Source organism: Homo sapiens, chromosome 1 (assembly GCF_000001405.40).
Source record: "Homo sapiens chromosome 1, GRCh38.p14 Primary Assembly".
Classification (NCBI taxonomy): domain Eukaryota; kingdom Metazoa; phylum Chordata; class Mammalia; order Primates; family Hominidae; genus Homo; species Homo sapiens.
The window spans coordinates 37555134-37570855 of record NC_000001.11 but is presented as its reverse complement, the minus strand read 5'-3'; the positions used below and the strand labels follow the sequence as shown (position 1 = coordinate 37570855).

General features: G+C 47.9%; 2 protein-coding genes and 1 pseudogene across 5 annotated transcripts in view, besides 3 other annotated features; 1 reads left to right on the top strand and 2 right to left on the bottom strand.

Annotated features, from left to right (window-relative positions):
- The window catches only part of GNL2 (G protein nucleolar 2), a 29122-nt gene extending 25082 nt beyond the window's left edge, over window positions 1-4040 (top strand). For all 4 annotated transcript variants that reach the window (NM_001323624.2, NM_013285.3, NM_001323623.2 and 1 more), the window contains 4 exons: window positions 1554-2005; window positions 2499-2581; window positions 3092-3183; window positions 3849-4040. In NM_001323624.2, the coding sequence (NP_001310553.1) occupies window positions 1554-2005; window positions 2499-2581; window positions 3092-3183; window positions 3849-4001 (780 nt within the window). In that variant the 3' untranslated portion in view covers window positions 4002-4040. The remainder of the gene's footprint in view (window positions 1-1553; window positions 2006-2498; window positions 2582-3091; window positions 3184-3848) is intronic.
- Window positions 1442-2641: an enhancer, noted in NCBI's record as "CDK7 strongly-dependent group 2 enhancer chr1:38033816-38035015 (GRCh37/hg19 assembly coordinates)". NCBI's record gives its function as "activates an origin of replication core promoter dependent on BRD2, BRD4, P300/CBP, MED14 and CDK7 cofactors, with strong dependence on CDK7, by STARR-seq in HCT116 cells {active_cell/tissue: HCT116}" and the evidence as "EXISTENCE:reporter gene assay evidence [ECO:0000049][PMID:35650434]".
- Window positions 3999-13916, bottom strand: DNALI1 (dynein axonemal light intermediate chain 1). The gene is made up of 6 exons (NM_003462.5): window positions 13781-13916; window positions 13108-13253; window positions 11360-11529; window positions 9121-9299; window positions 8611-8775; window positions 3999-5830 (listed from the first exon to the last, which is right to left on the bottom strand). Exons 1-6 carry the CDS (start codon window positions 13859-13861, stop codon window positions 5795-5797), a joined length of 777 nt encoding a protein of 258 aa, NP_003453.3. The 5' UTR covers window positions 13862-13916; the 3' UTR covers window positions 3999-5794.
- Window positions 13834-14128: an enhancer, noted in NCBI's record as "tiled region #12224; K562 Activating DNase matched - State 5:Enh". NCBI's record gives its function as "activates a minimal TATA promoter and a strong SV40 promoter by Sharpr-MPRA in K562 cells {active_cell/tissue: K562}" and the evidence as "EXISTENCE:reporter gene assay evidence [ECO:0000049][PMID:27701403]".
- RPS27P9 (ribosomal protein S27 pseudogene 9) lies at window positions 14303-14642 on the bottom strand (annotated as a pseudogene).
- Window positions 14339-15309: an enhancer, noted in NCBI's record as "H3K4me1 hESC enhancer chr1:38021148-38022118 (GRCh37/hg19 assembly coordinates)". NCBI's record gives its function as "activates a minimal SCP1, AML or CMV promoter by ChIP-STARR-seq in naive H9 embryonic stem cells {active_cell/tissue: H9 hESC(naive)}" and the evidence as "EXISTENCE:reporter gene assay evidence [ECO:0000049][PMID:30033119]".

Sequence of the window (15722 nt, the reverse complement as noted above, 5' to 3'; positions counted from 1 at the left end):
CAGGCCAGTCATTTCAGGGTCCCCAGACTTAGTTCTCTAATGAACTCTCTTCAATCACAGAATTCCCCCTCCTTACCTTATACTCTTGCTTCAGGATGCCTCCTATCTTAGTCTGTTTTGTGATGATGCAACAGAATACTACAGATTGGGTAATTATAATGAACAGAAATTGTTTTGGCTCATGTTTCTGGAGGCTGGGAAGTCCAGTATCAAGGCACCAGCATCTGACAAGGGTCATCCCATCGTGGAAAGTGGGAGGACAAGAGCAAGCAAGAGAGGGTCAAACTTGCTTTTATAACAAACTCACTCTTTTTTTTTTTTTTTTTGAGACGGAGTCTTGCTCTGTTGCCCAGGCTGGAGTGCAGTGGCACGATCTCGGCTCATTGCAACCTCTGCTTCCTGGGTTCAAGTGATTCTCCTGCCTCAGCCTCCTGAGTAGCTGGGACTACAGGCATATGCCACCAGGCCCAGCTAATTTTTGTATTTTTAGTAGAGATGGGGTTTCACCATGTTGGCCAAGCTGGTCTTGAACTCCTGACCTTGTGATCTGCCCACCTTGGCCTCCCAAAGTGCTGGGATTACAGACGTGAGCCACCACATCCGGCCAACAGACTCACTCTTAAAAACGAACCCATCCCCGAGATCCATTAGTCCATTCATGGGGATGGAGCCCTCATGATCTAATTACCTCTTATTAGGCCTTACCTACCAACACTTGCTGCATTGGGGATTAAGTTTCTGTATCAGTCCATTTTCATACTGCTATGAAGAAATACATGAGACTGGTTAGTTTATAAAGAAAAAGAGGTTTAATGGACTCACAGTTCCACATGGCTGGGGAGGTTTCACAATCATGGCGGAAGGTGAAGGAGGAACAAAGGCATGTCTTACATGGCATCAGGCAAGAGTGTGTGTCCAGGGAAACTGCCCTTTATAAAACCATCAGCTCTCGTGAGACTTAATTCATCATAGGAGCGGCATGGGAAAGACCTGCCCCCATAATTCAATTACCTCCCACCCGGTCCTTCCCACAACACATGGGGATTATGGGAGCTACAAATCAAGATGAGATTTGGACACAGCCAAACCATACCAGTTTCCAACATATGAATTTTGGGGGACACATTTAAATCAGAGGACCTCCTCAAATGCCTCTCTTAGTACTGTTCTCATCTGTAACATCCAGCCTGGCCTTCATTTTTATGTAGTTGTGTGTGCTGATTTTGCATGTGCTTATATCAGCAGCCCCCTAGGGAAGGTCTAGGGAGCCTTGCTTTTCTATGATAAATCATTGGTTGGTTTTAATGGTTTAAATAGTCTTAGTTGGTTCATCCTGTGGAACTACACATGTATTCCTTTGATCCTAGTACTGATCTCTGGGCTTAATGTACATTGGTTTAAAAATACATTAATGAAATGACTCAAATTTGGGTGTTTTCAATACCTTCCCTTAGTCCTGAGAAGAGGACTGTTTAAGAGCAAGATATGAGTTCAGAAATTCCATTTTTCATTTTCTGATTCTATTTATTTCCCCCATTTCCACCCCTTAATAGCTTCTACCCTCCTCATCTTTGGAAGTTGTCCCAGAAGCAGCCCAGAACAATCCAGGGGAGGAAGTCACAGAAACTGCAGGTGAAGGGTCAGAATCCATCATTAAGGAAGAAACAGAAGAGAACAGTCACTGTGATGCTAACACAGAGATGCAGCAGATTCTCACACGAGTTCGGCAGAACTTTGGTAAAATCAACGTGGTGCCTCAGTTTTCTGGGGATGACCTGGTTCCTGTGGAGGTGTCAGATCTTGAGGAAGAGCTTGAGAGCTTTTCTGATGAAGAGGAGGAGGAACAGGAGCAACAAAGAGATGATGCGGAAGAGTCTTCCTCGGAGCCTGAGGAGGAAAATGTGGGAAACGACACCAAAGCCGTTATTAAAGCACTGGATGAGAAGATTGCCAAATATCAGAAGTTTCTAGACAAAGCCAAAGCCAAAAAGTTTTCAGCAGTCAGGTAATATTTTCATCTTCTCACAAATTGCAGATTTTCATTCCTTTCCCAAAAATTTGCCATGAGTACCAGAGCCATATTTTTACATGGGGTTATTGCCATTTGTTTGTTCGGTTGGGTTTTTTGTTTGTTTGTTTTTTGAGACGGCGTCTCGCTATGTTGCCTAGACTGGCCTCACTCTCCTGGGTTCAAGCAATGCTGTCATCTCAGCCTCCTAAGTAGCTGTGACTACAGGTGTGCACCACCACACTTGGCTGTTATTGCCATTTTTAAAAAGTGAACTGTAAATTTTGTAAAATTCAGCTGCCTGCAGTATGAGAAGCTTTAGAAACACCCAGGGAGGTACAAACATGTTGGATGTTGACTTCTTCCACTGGTGATAACTACTTGGATAGGAGTGGGGTTTCTTTAGTCTGTGAGTTTGTCGCAGGTCTCCAGGTCAGTATGTGATTCGGGCGAGTGAGAGGAGGAATGTTACTTTGCTTTTCTGTTTCAGAATATCCAAGGGACTGAGTGAAAAGATATTTGCAAAACCTGAAGAACAAAGAAAAACACTGGAAGAAGATGTAGATGACAGAGGTGAAGTTAAATTATTTCAATCATTTAGATGTAATTTGCATATTTAGAGTTTTGAGAAACCTAAGTTCAGTCTCCAAATTATCTCAGTCATCCACATAAATGTTTGTCATATCTGGCAGATTACTTTAAATTTACATAGTGTTATGCAAATTGAATTATCTGCTTTTCATTCTGCACATTTTTTAGGATTAAATTGGCAATTCAGGAAACTTCCTAGAAAGGGTTCATTATTAACCTAGAATCCAAGGGTGGGTCCACAGACAAAGAGGGGGGTGTGTTTCCTGCATTTATCCATTCCTCCATTTGACCATCAGCTTTCACACTGAGAGCATGGCTTAGGGCATCCTTTTACCTGGCAGCCTCCCCTTGGCCTGCTTTACTCACCACTGTGCTCACCTGCTCTGTCCACATTGGGTGTCCTCCTCCTGATACATCAAGCTTGTTCCCACCGTTGGGTTTATAGACAAATTTTCAATAGAAAATTCCTGTTTGTGTATTGTTTGTATCCAGCACCTTCCAAAAAGGGAAAGAAGCGGAAGGCACAAAGGGAAGAGGAACAGGAACATTCAAATAAAGCTCCCAGGGCGCTTACATCAAAAGAAGTAAGTGTCATAGGTTTTAAGTATGGCCCAAGTAGAGTAACTAGAACTCCAGTTGTCAAGACCCACTGAAACAAATGGTCCAGAGCTGAATCCCAAGAACCCCAGTCCTCGTTGACCTAGTTGAGGTCAGATAAATAGGGTCGGGTCTGGCCCACTAGATGCAGGTCCTTGAGTCCATGTCATACGTTTTAGGAGTTTCTAATCAACGTCTCCACACGAGTGGACTATCCTCTAGAGGAGTCAGTTTCTAGTCCCAAGGGAAACGACCCAATGAGCAGATCTGCTTTGGGCAGATCACTGACTTCTGTGAAGGACAGCTTTGGAGCTGAGCTGTTCAGAGCTAGAGTGGGCCCTCTGGGGAGGGGAGTGGTTAGCAGCACTCAGCCTTGCTGCAGGGGACTTGTCAGGAGTGATGCAGAACAGATTCTTGCACTGGCTAAGGGTTGGATCACATGTGGATTTGTAACTTGGAGTTGCATAAGTCACAATGGAAGAGTAACCTTAGGTCTACGGGGGAGCCCTCCCTCATTAGCACTGCTTCCAGTAGCTGTGGAAGCAGCACGGGAAATAGAACACAGAGATGAGAAGCAGAGACTCCTGTTTTGTGAATGACTTTCAGGGTTTTGTTGTTTTTTTTCTTCATCTTTTCTTGCCATTTTTTACAGCGGAGGCGAGCAGTACGACAGCAACGGCCGAAAAAAGTTGGTGTGCGCTACTATGAAACACACAACGTGAAAAATAGGAACAGGAACAAAAAGAAGACCAATGACTCAGAGGGACAGAAACACAAACGCAAAAAATTCAGACAAAAGCAGTAATGTTTAAAAGGTTTTTATTAAATTATACAAAAACAGGCAGTTAGAAATTGTGTTTTCTTCCTGCCCCATTGACATTTCTAAGGCCCTAATGCATTTGTTCTGAGGTTTGACAGTTGAAGCCCTTCACCAGTGCTAGGGAAATAAAGCCTCCTCAACCTTAAGGATTTCAGTGATAAGAGTCTGAAAGTCTAGCACTTCAGGTAGACTTTGGATGAACTAAGAGGTTCCACAGTCACCCTGTCATATAACTGTCTGACAGAAATAGGGGATGAGGTCTATAAAATGGAAAGGGTGGTATTTCGTTTTTATTGGTAATGAATGATTTGGAATAGAAGCATACAGAACTGCAAATTTCAAGGACGTTAGTGTACATGGCCTGGCCTTTGAAATACAAGGAGAAAGTTGGGTGCAGAAGAAATAGGAGAAAACTACAATAATTTCTGCCTCATTGAGTCTGTGAAGTAGACCCACTTATGGCACATACGTTCCTGTCTTAGAGGCCTGGAACTAGCAGATCTCGTGGAAAGAGTTCTTTCCCATGGAAATGACAACACAGGCAGGTCATTTGAGTGGAGGCTTAAAATTCCTCAGGATACTGGATCAGGGTAAAAGCTGCTCCTTAGATTCCAGATGAGAATGTGTATGGTGTGTTCAGCATAGGGAACACAGCTTTTCTGGGGAAATGACAGTGCTTCCATTGTGAGCCTTGAAGCTCACTGAACCCAAGACGGATGGCAGGTGGAAGCTCTGCTAAGGAGAGGCCCTTCTTACGCCTCTTTCTGGGGAACCTGAGCATGTTAGTGCCTTTTAGGTAATGTTACTTGTGCAGCCTAACTGAAGGATGAAGTCCTCCAGCTTACCACCCTAGCCCACCCTGGCTTGCCCCGAACTAAAGATTTATGTCACTCATTCAATCTTCTGGGTCTACAAAACCAGGAGAATGGAAGAGAAATACTAAAATGCAGTTGTCTAGCAGCCGTACTCCAATTATTAGTCATTAGACCTGCATGTGAGATTTAGTTACCTCTTCAGTTGTTAATTAACATCACTACTTCGGGGAGTGCAGAGTCAGGGCTTGATTTTCTGCAGGATAAGGGGAACAGATCTGTGCTGGGGGAAGAGCTGAGTTGCAGACAACTCACAAAGGCCACTGTGACTAGTATTCCTTTCTGGCAAACATTTACTTTCTCCAAAGCCATGGGTTTGACTGCCATTGTTTCCTAATGTAGGCAGTCTGAAACCGAGGAGGAAGGGGTCCAGTTGACTGGCAAGTGGGGATAATACATTAGAAAACCAAAGCTCCAAAGTGAGTTAGAAATGCATTAGAGTAGGGAAAAGAAGACATTAAGTAAGGAAGGCCAGAGGCCCAAGAAGCCCAAGTTAAGGTAGAAGATGAATTGTGAACTAAAAGTTTGAGGGGCAGAGAAGCAGATTCATTTGGCCAGAAATAAGTATTGGTATAGAGTGATGATGAGAAAGCAGTGGCTTTCTTAGAATTTGAGTTGGCAGTTCCCAAGGCTGGCTAGTAAGCCACACACGGAGACTAACAGGGCCACACCATCTTCCATTGCCCAGCCAGGAGCCTGGCTGGCAGACCTTAGGTGTCTGATGACATTGGAGTAATAGTGTGACTTCTAACAAATACCTAGGTGGTGTTTAGGGGAGGTTATGGCTTGTTCACTCAGGAAACTAGCTTTTTATTACAAAGGGCTTATGATGATTTTATTGGCTGCCAGAGGAACACAGTAAATAACTCCCAAGTGTCTTGTTGGAAATTAATCATGTGGAAATTATCACTTCTTTGGTGCAATAATGCCTTCCAGTTGGGCCTGAAAAACAAAAACAAGCTCCATTAATACTTGAAACTTGCAGCCTGATACAAATAGCTGAGAGGTGATCAAATCTCTGGGAAGAAGAATCCACATGCTGTCACTCCAAGGGTTCTTTTTCCCCTTGATCCCCAAATCCATATTTTCTAGATTAGCTAGTTTCTAGCTTGGCATACAGTCTTTAGTATATGAGGAGAAGCCAGAGCTGTCCTGGTTTCAACACAATAATGGCTCCGGGTATGATATAAAGCATTGAAAAGGATATTGAATGCATTGTTGTAAGGGCTTTTCATGGCTCAGGTTTCAGGCCAGAATATGTCTGCTAAGTTAAACATTTGGCTCTCTGGCCGGGCGCAGTGGCTCATTCCTGTAATCCCAGCACTTTGGGAGGCTGAGGCGGGCGGATCGTGAGGTCAGGAGATCCAGACCATCCTGGATAACACGGTGAAACCCCGTCTCTACTAAAAATACAAAAATTAGTTGGGCGTGGTGGCAGGCGTCTGTAGTCCCAGCTACTCCAGAGGCTGAGGCAGGAGAATAGCATGAACCTGGGAGGCGGGGCTTGCAGTGAGCCAAGATCGTGCCACTGCACTCCAGCCTGGGTGACAGAGGGAGACTCCGTCTCAAAAAAAAAAAAATATTGGCTCTCTGGTTTAGGATCCTGGGAGTTCTGCTGGGACCAGAGGTTTGGGAAACAGTGAATTTTCAGCCACTGAGACAACTTGGCACACAATTAGAGAAATGCTGCCAGTGAATACAGAGCTGTCCCTCTTTGTTGGGGGGTGGGGGTGGGGAATGGAGTTTTGCTCTTGTCACCCAGGCTGGAGTGTGATGGTGTGATATCGGTTCACTGCAACCTCTACCTCCCGGGTTCAAGTGATTCTCCTGCCTCAGCCTCCTGAGTAGCTTGGATTACAGATGCACATCACCACGCCCAGCTACTTTTTGTATTTTTAGTAGAAATGGGTTTCACCACGTTGGCCAGGCTGGTCTCAAACTCCTGACCTCATGTGATCCACCTGCCTCGGCCTCCCAAAGTGCTGGGATTACAGGTGTGAGCTACCACACCCAGCCGAGAGCTGTCCCTCTTTATGTAAAGCTTAAGACACTTGGGAGTTATTTACTATGTTCCTCTGGTAGCCAATAAAATAATACTGGACAGATCTTTAGGTAGGTCTATCCTGGGGACAGCAAAGCTGCTTTATTTGCAATGCAGTTTTGAGCCAATAAAAATAGCTCACTTCCTGTATTACAAGCCTGTAATTCCAGCACTTTGGGAGGCCAAGGTGGGCAGATCATGTGAGGTCAGGAGTTCATGACCAGCCTGGCCAACATGGTGAAACCCCATCTCTATTCAAAATACAGAAATTTGCCGGGCGTGCTGGCACATGCCTGTAATCCCAGCTACTCAGGAGGCTGAGGCAAGAGAATCACTTCAACCCGGGAGGTAGAGGTTGCAATGAGTTGAGATGGTGCCATTGCACTCCAGCCTGGGCAACAAGAGCAAAACTCCGTCTCAAAAGAAAAAAAATTTAAAAATGCCAACTTCTAAAGAATCTTTCACCCTGGAGATTACAAGATTGCTTTTAAATGTTAGAAACATGCTAAGGTATTTGGTTTGCTCTTGTTGCTAATCCAGGAAGAACTGAGGAACTCAGGCTTATGAAAAAGGAATATGGCAGTTAAGGAAAGCAGCCTCAGAGGCTGCTAAGGAAACAGATTCATCTCTGGCTGTGAAAGTTTCTTGCTTTTCTTTGTGCAACAAGAAAAGTTCCAGTAGTGGTTAACAGAAAGCCTTCTTTATCGCAAATGGCCAGTCCTGCTGGTGTGTAGACCAAACAAGCCTGCAATGTCAAGATTGTAAGGTTTCTATCTGAGCCTAGGGAGGAGAGGGAGATCCATCCAGGGTCCTTTGGCCAGGGCCATGGGAGAAGGCCACTAAATGTCAGTAGGCCATCTTTCCAGAACAGTGATGCTCAAACTTCTGCAAACATTAGAATCACCTGAGACCTTGTTAAAGCACATTGCTGGACCCCAACCCCGAATTTTCTGATTTGGTAGATCTGGGGTGGGCCCAATAATTTGTCTTGCTTTGCCAGGTGAGGACGATGTTGATCTAGGGCCTACCTTTTGAGACCTTTGGACCAAACAGCTGGGAGTTGCAGTGCCTGTAGCATGGCCTCCTGCCCAGCTTTGTCCACCAGCCCCCTCCCTCCTATCACCTCAGCTGGATAAAAGACCACTGCTGGCATCGGACTTCGAGGAAGAGCACCTGTGCCTGGGTTCCCCGACCACATTTCTGGGGAAGGTTTCTGATTTGAAATGGTTCTTCCTCTCAAAGGGCCCTGCTGCCCTTTGACTTCTTCCCTGGTTATGCCCTGAAACAGGGCCTCAGAGGAGACAGCCATGGGATGGCACTACCACGCAAGCCACCTGGAGCCCAGCCCCCTCCAGAAAGGCTCCAACATACCAGCTTCCAGGGGAATGGAGTTCCACTTTTTGCCATATCCACCTCTTCCTTGAGGATGGGCAACTTTTTTCCAGGGAGAAGAATCCTCCACTGGAGAGCCAGGCTGAGGCGCCTCAGAGATTTGGAGTTGAGAGTAGAGACCCCCTCTGGAGCCCTCCCCTTCTCCCACCACCAAAGTCAGCTTCCTTTATCCTTTGGCAGTGCATGTGGACAAACATTTAAAAGCCATGGAAAAGGAACCGAATGCCTGGCCTGTGGGGCTGGGTCGCAGGGCAGGGGGCACCTCCACCCCACCCTGCGCGTTGATTACCTTCAGCTGCTGATTTGTTCGCTTCAGGAACTGAATCTCCTCATTGTGCTTCTTCTCCTCCACCTGCCGCCTCTCGCTCTCCCGCTTCTCAGTGGCTTCACATTTTGCCTTCTGCTCGTTCACTTGCCTCTCCAGGTCTCTCTTTTCCGTCTCCAATTCTGCGATCTGAGGAGAGAATGCCCAGTCATCCTGGGATGTCGCCAGGTGAATGGAATGGTGTGAGCCTGGGTGGAAGGGACATGGGACATGACATTGCCAGGGTATATACTGCCACCCAGTGGGAGGTCAGTGCCTGGCATGGAGCGTCTACAGCGGAAACAACTCTGCCAAGACCACCAGGCTGGCCATCATACTCAACCAGGGGTCCCTCACTGAGGTGATGCAAGTCCAGGTGTCGTGACTGTCAGCAGAGCACCTTAGGAGGTCAGAATGTAGTGCTGGAATGATAAGCATGTGGCCCTGAGGTTTACAGAAGAGATGGGACCAAGGGTCACGGTAAACCCCACTCACTTTCCTCTCCATGTCTGACTTCCCCTGCTCAGCCTGCAGTGCCTTCCTCATGCCAAACGCCACGCTGCTCTCGTACAGGGTCTGGTAGGCAGCGATGGTCATGCGGATCTCGTCCCGGACTCGCAGCAGCAGCAGCCCCCTCTCCGCACAGTTGATGGTGACCTCCCGGATCAACTCATCTTCCAATGCACACACACCATGAGATCAGACAGGGCGTGGGGAGGGGGCTTGCAGTATGTCTACTGCAAACACCCTTCCTCTTGGGAAGGACATTAGGGTGTTCTCGCTTGGAGACAAAGTGCAAGGCCTCAGAGAAGGGCCTCAGGGAGGGTGCCTTCAGTGGCCCAAAGAGCCTTGCCATGCAGTCACTCCTCTGAACTTGGCACTTGTGAGTAGCACAGTCAGCAAGACTGGGTTGGCCAGAGCAAAGGAGACAAGAGGCTCTGGTTTGTTTACAGCACTGGGTCCCCTCCCTTCCTGCCTTAGGTAAAAACTGGTTACTACTCGAAAAAACCTGACTTTTTCTGTTTAAAGATGGCAGCTGTTTTAAAGCAGCTGGGACATCCTGTGTGCCCCCTTGGCTGCACTGGTTTGAGGGAAATGGCAGGGTCTAGAGCTTGCCCATCTATCTCCCCATAAATGCTGACCTGGAGGGCAAACCATAATAACACACGGATAGGGAAGCCTGCTAGACCCTGCAGCTGCCTGAGGGTTTGGAGGTGGTTTGCAGATCGGCGTCCATAAGAGCCAATGAGACTGGGCTGGGAGACAGCCATTTGACACCAGCACTCAAGGAGGTGCATCTTAAATCTCTCGTGTCTGTGGGTTAACAACAAATCACAATATTTTTCTGGACCAAGGGCCAAATATTGATGGATGGATGGATGGATGTAAATACTGAACATTAATCTTTCTGACTAAAAAATTAGCACATGCTTATTATAGAAAATCTTTGAAAAAACAGATGGAAGTTATCGTTTTACTCCAAACATCTGCTAAGGGGTGAGGAACTCAAGTTGCCAAGAATATAGTGGTTGGCAGCTGGAGGACTTGTAGAAGAGGCGGGGCTGGTGTAGGGAAAAGAAGGAGAGATCAGACTGTTACTGTGTCTACGTTGAAAAGAAAGACACAAGAAACTCCATTTTGACCTGTACCCTGAACAATTGCTTTGCCCTAAGATGCCGTTAATCTGTAACTTTGCCCCAACCTTGAGCTCACAGAAACATGTGATGTATGGAATCAAGGTTTAAGGGATCTACGGCTGTGCAGGATGTGCCTTGTTAACAAAATGTTTACAGGCAGCATGCTTGGTAAAAGTCATCGCCATTCTCCATTCTCGATAAACCAGGGGCACAATGCACTGCAGAAAGCCGCAGGGATCTCTGCCCTGGAAAGCCAGGTATTGTCCAAGGTTTCTCCCCACGTGATAGCCTGAAATATGGCCTGGTGGGATGGGAAAGACCTGACCGTCCCTCAGCCTGACACCCGTGAAGGGTCTGTGCTGAGGAGGATTAGTAAAAGAGGAAGGCCCCTTGCCGTTGAGATAAGAGAAAGGCCTCTGTCTTCTGCCTGCCCCTGGGAACTGAATGTCTCAGTATAAAACCTGATTGTACGTTTGTTCTGAGATAGGAGAAAAAACGCCCTGTGGCGGGAGGCGAGACATGTTGGCAGCAATGCTGCTCTGTTACTCTTTACTCCACTGAGATGTCTGGGTAGAGAGAAGCATAAATCCGGCCTACGTGCACATCCAGGCATAGTACCTTCCCTTGAACTTATTCGTGACACAGATTCCTTTGCTCACGTGTTTTCTTGCTGATCTTCTCCCCACTATCACCCTGCTCTCCTGCCACATTCCTCTTGCTGAGATAGTGAAAATAGTAATCAATAAATACTGAGGAAACTCAGAGACCAGTGCCGGTGCGGGTCCTCCGTATGCTGAGTGCCGGTCCCCTGGGCCCACCTTTCTTTCTCTATACTTTGTCTGTGTCTTATTTCTTTTCTTAGTCTCTCCTCCTGCCTGAGGAGAAATACCCACAGGTGTGGAGGGGCTGGCCCCCTTCAGCTGGGAAGGGGAAGGGGGCAGTTAGCTGTTGCTGGGTGGGTCAGGCAGGGGGAGAAGAGGGGATTCCAGCATGAGATGGGCTCCAGCTCCAAGGTGCTCAGGCTTGGATCTGTGCTGAAGGTGAAGGGAAGGGAGCAGTAGGGTGTGTAGTGCCCACCCCTCACCTGGCTCACTCACCAAAACACTGTGAGTAGAGTTCCCTGCGGACAGGGCAGATGCCTGTTTCCCTGGCCTGCCGCTGCTGCAGCTTTAAGTCTAACTGCTCCTGGAGGTGCACCACGTCCATCCTGGTGCTAGGGGTGCTGGACACCTGCTGGATCCATAGCTGCGTGTCTTCCACCCACTCCCTGTGGCAGACACAGCGAGGCTGAGCAAAACCCGTTGACTTGAAGGTCCCTAGCACATGAGCAGAGGGCCCTTTGAGCCCTCTGCCTGAGTAGTGGTGAGGGGCAGCTTTGCCACCAACCCACCAGAATCCTCCATCCCTTGGGGTGTGAGGCTCCAAAGCCACACCCACTATGCTGCCTCCACAGGGATCTTGGGAATGGGTAGGTGGTAGACAATTTCCACCTTGGCAACGGGCCTCTGTGAAATCATTCCCCACTGTTCCAGATCTTACCCTCCTAACATGCTGAAGACCGATTTATGGTTGTTGCTTGATGTGAACAGTAGGAACTACCCACCAACTTACGGGGTGGGAAACACAGGACATCATGAACCTTGTGCGAGCCAGAAAGAGGCAGATGTGTGTATCGGGGTGGAGAGGTTCATGAAGGTGTGTGCCTGCGTAGGCCCCCATTTCCCTTTTCCTCATAGCCTTACCAACTGTGCTGTCAACTTATTACATAAAAATAGATGAAAAGGCATGTCCTTTTATCAATGTGGCTGCAGAAGAAAAAAGCAAGAAAAGGAGATCATGTTGGGCAGGGGTGCTCTGCTATAGCAAATTCTCAAGGAAGGCCTGGAAGAAATGAAAGGAACCAGGAGAATATCAAGGGGAGAACATCTTTGGCAGTGAAAACACCAGCTGTCAGGGCCCTGTGGTAGGAGAGTGAATGAGGCATTTCAGAAATAGCAAGTGAGGTCCCTGTGGATTCAGCACAGTGAACAAGAAACAGAATAACAGGAGATAAGGTCAGGGATACATCGTAGGCCAGATCATGCCACATCTTCCAGGCCATTGTAAGGATTTTTGATTTTAGTCTGAGATGGGAAGCCACAAAAGAGTTTCTGGCAGAGACTGGCATGATCTGACTTATGACTTAGGGGCTGTATGGAGGATAGATTCTAGGAGCAGAGTGGAAGCAGTGTTTTCAGATAGGAGGCCACTGCAGCAGTGCGAGTGGCCACCAGTGACTAGGAGCAAGATGGTGGAAGCAGAGGTGGTGAAAAGTGGTTGGATTTGGGAAAGAATTTGAAGGTGGAGCCAAAAGAATGTGACGAAGGATAGGACACATGCTGTGAGAGTGATCAAAAGGAATGAAAGGTGGTTTGAGTCCCTAGTAAAAAGGAGAATACGGGGGATGAGCAGATTGGGGAAGGAAGAAATTGTGATTTAGTTTGAATATATTGAGTTTGAGATGTCTATTAGATATCTTCATGAAGATAATGAGGAAGCAGAAGACTATATGGTCCTGGAGTTTAGTGGAGAAGACAGGGCTGGAAATACACATTTGGGAGCCATCAGCACATAGGTGGTATCTAAAGCCATGAGATTGGGTGACAGCATGCAGGAAATGAGGGTAGATTGAGAAGAGGTCTCCCACCACCCTGCCAGGATCCAGCCATATGTAAGTTCTAGGAGCTCTGTGATACTGGGAGGAAACCCCAGCCAGGAACAGAGGCAGAGTGCCTCCCCCCACACTCCCAAAATCCACGATGTAAAAGCTTAGGCCTTCTCCCAGCCACTGCTCCTACTTTCTTACCTTGGGGGTAGTATGGCATTCAAGATTTCTTCTGCCTGCTTTGTAGGATCTGGGACACAGGGAGTTGAGGGGAGCTTGGTCTTGGGTGGCTGTGGGGCTGAACCTGAAGGTCCAGGCTGCTGGGGGCTGACTTTCAGTAGCCGAGCCTGAGATGAAGGCACAGGTGAGGGCAGGAAATTGTTCAGGAGCTCAGCTCCACACATCCCCAACCTGTATATTGCTCCAGGTCTTCTGCACAGCCCTCCCCTCTTCCTAGCCTACTTTGGGTCGGTCTTCTCAGCAGAAATTATGTCACAGAGCTGAAGGAGGCCATGAAGTCTGGCCCCAACTCAATGCTTGAACAGGTGTTTCTGGCGCATGTGCTTTCACACCTCTGGTGATGGGGAAATCACTACCTAGTCATCTGTTCTTGGACCCGCGTACCATTAAGAAGAGTGAGCCCCATCCATCTCCCTGTGACCTCCTTCCCCATCCTAAATCTGCCCTCTGGGGTCACACCCAACATCTGGGCTTCCTATACAATCCTCTCACCCTCCTTCTCTGACTTCCCAATTCCCTTTACTCCCAGTCGCTGCAATCCCCGTCCCTTGAGATTCCTGACCCTCCATGCGGGAATGTGTCTTTCCCTATCGGAGTTTCGAGGCTCCTTTGTCTCCCGAGCCCCCGTCTTTACCTTGGGGCTCCGTTTCTCCGTGTTCCGGCTCACCAGCACTGGGGTGTCGTACTTGAGCAAAGAGTCTGCGGGCGGAATCATGGCGGAGGCGAGAGTAGCAACCCAGCAGCTGCCCTGTCCAGTGTGGGCCTTGTTTGCCGTCACCATGGAAACCGCCCCCTCACTCCCGCCCCCGCGCTTCTTGGCCTGGGCGGAGCTTCGAAGTGGGGCGGGGCCAACAGCCGGCAAGTTTCATTCTGTGCCTCCTGGGCAGAAACCTCTTGTGCCTGACTTCTTAGGCCTTCTGCTCACCGGTTCGTCCCTGTACTCTTGGAGGCGAGGAAAACGGCAGTTCGAGTCCCTATGCTCCGTCTAGCTAGCGATTTGAAGTGGGCAGATCACCTTTGCCATGCTCCAATTTTGTCACCTGAAAAACAGGAGTCATCTCCTGACTTCTCATGAAGGGTTAAGGGACAATTCCCAAAGGAAGTCATCTGGAGTTCCTAGGTTTTTTGAAGGTTTTTTTTGTTGTTGTAGTTGTTCCCAAAATGTGTTCATTGAGATTGTTTCCCACTCATCTTGATTCAGAGTGCTTTTAGTGCTGCTTCCTCCTGAAGGAACATCCTTCTGTAAGCCTTACTTTTCCTCCTGTAGGCTGGCAGAGGACAGTGGAGCAGCCAACACACAAAACTGCCGTTTGTGCATGGCTAAAGACTGTGGTGATTTTATAGCATCCTGGGCATTTCACATCCATGAAGTAGGAATTGGGGCTCTGCACCAGGCGTTTCTTCTTGTGTTTCCTCTTCTCCTCTTCTGGGGAGGGATGAAGGAGATCCTTTGCGAGAGGCATGTTCTCGTGGGTAGGTCGTCACCGCAAGAAAGGGCTTGTTTTGATTTTTAAATTGAGACGGAGTCTCTCTCTGTTGCCCAGGCTGAAGTGCAGTGGCGTGATCTCGGCTCACTGCAACCTCCGCCTCCCGGGTTCAAACGATTCTCCTGCTTCAGCCTTCTGAGTAGCTGGGACTACAGGCGCGTGCCCCCATGCCCGGCTAAATTTTGTATTTTTAGTAGAGACGGGGTTTCACCACGTTGGCCAGGCTGGTCTCGAACTCCTGACCTCGTGGTCCGCCTGCCTCGGCCTCCCAAAGTGCTGGGATTACAGGCGTGAGCCACCGCGCCCAGCCTGAAGTATTTTTCTAATTAAATGGAGAAATGACAAAGTAGGAGCCAATGGGAAACCTCCCCTTTGCCCCCTGAAGATTCGCTCAAAAATCAATTCACAAAAGGCAGATTAATTGGAGAAAAGGCATACAAATGTATTTAAAATGTATACACGGGGAGAATCACAGTATGATTACCCACCCCGAAAAGGGTTCAGAAGCTTATATACCCTCCTGGTAAAACAGGTTTGTGAGGGTGGGAGAAGGAGGAATTCTGTTCAGGGATTACTAGGCAGAATGAATGAATAAGGGAACAGAGATAAATTTGTAAATAGTTTTTTGTGTTTTTTTTTTTGTTTTGGTTTGGTTTTTTTGAAGACAGGGTCTCACTCTGTAGCCCTGGCTGGAGTGCAGTGGTGCCATCACGGCTCACTGCAGCCTCCAACTCCTGGGCTCAAGCGATCCTCCTGTCTCTGCTGGGACCACAGGCACGAGCCACTAGCCCCTGCCAAATTTAATTTTTTTGTAGAGACAGTCTTGCTATGTTAGGCAGTTTGGTCTCAAACTCCTGGCTTCAAGCGATTTTCCTGCCTTGGCCTCCCAAAGCGCCGGAATTACAGGCTGCAGCCACCGTGCTCGGCTGTAAATAGCTACTTTTGACAGTATAAGGGTCTCTGGTCAGGTGTGATTACATTCTTGGGTGGAGAAGAAAGAAACAATTATTCCTTTTGGTAGTCTGGATCTTAGGCAGATAAAGACCTGTGCTTTGGGAGAGATGATGGGCACTGGAAAGGAACATTGAG

Bases quoted from the DNA above. Each gene is read 5' to 3' on its own strand.
- DNALI1 (NM_003462.5), bottom strand. From the start codon at position 13,861: ATGATTCCGCCCGCAGACTCTTTGCTCAAGTACGACACCCCAGTGCTG. The intron at 13,254-13,780 runs GTAAAGACGGGG...CCTTCATCTCAG, and splicing joins CGGAGAAACGGAGCCCCAAG to GCTCGGCTACTGAAAGTCAG. The intron at 11,530-13,107 runs GTAAGAAAGTAG...TGTCTGCCACAG, and splicing joins AATGCCATACTACCCCCAAG to GGAGTGGGTGGAAGACACGC.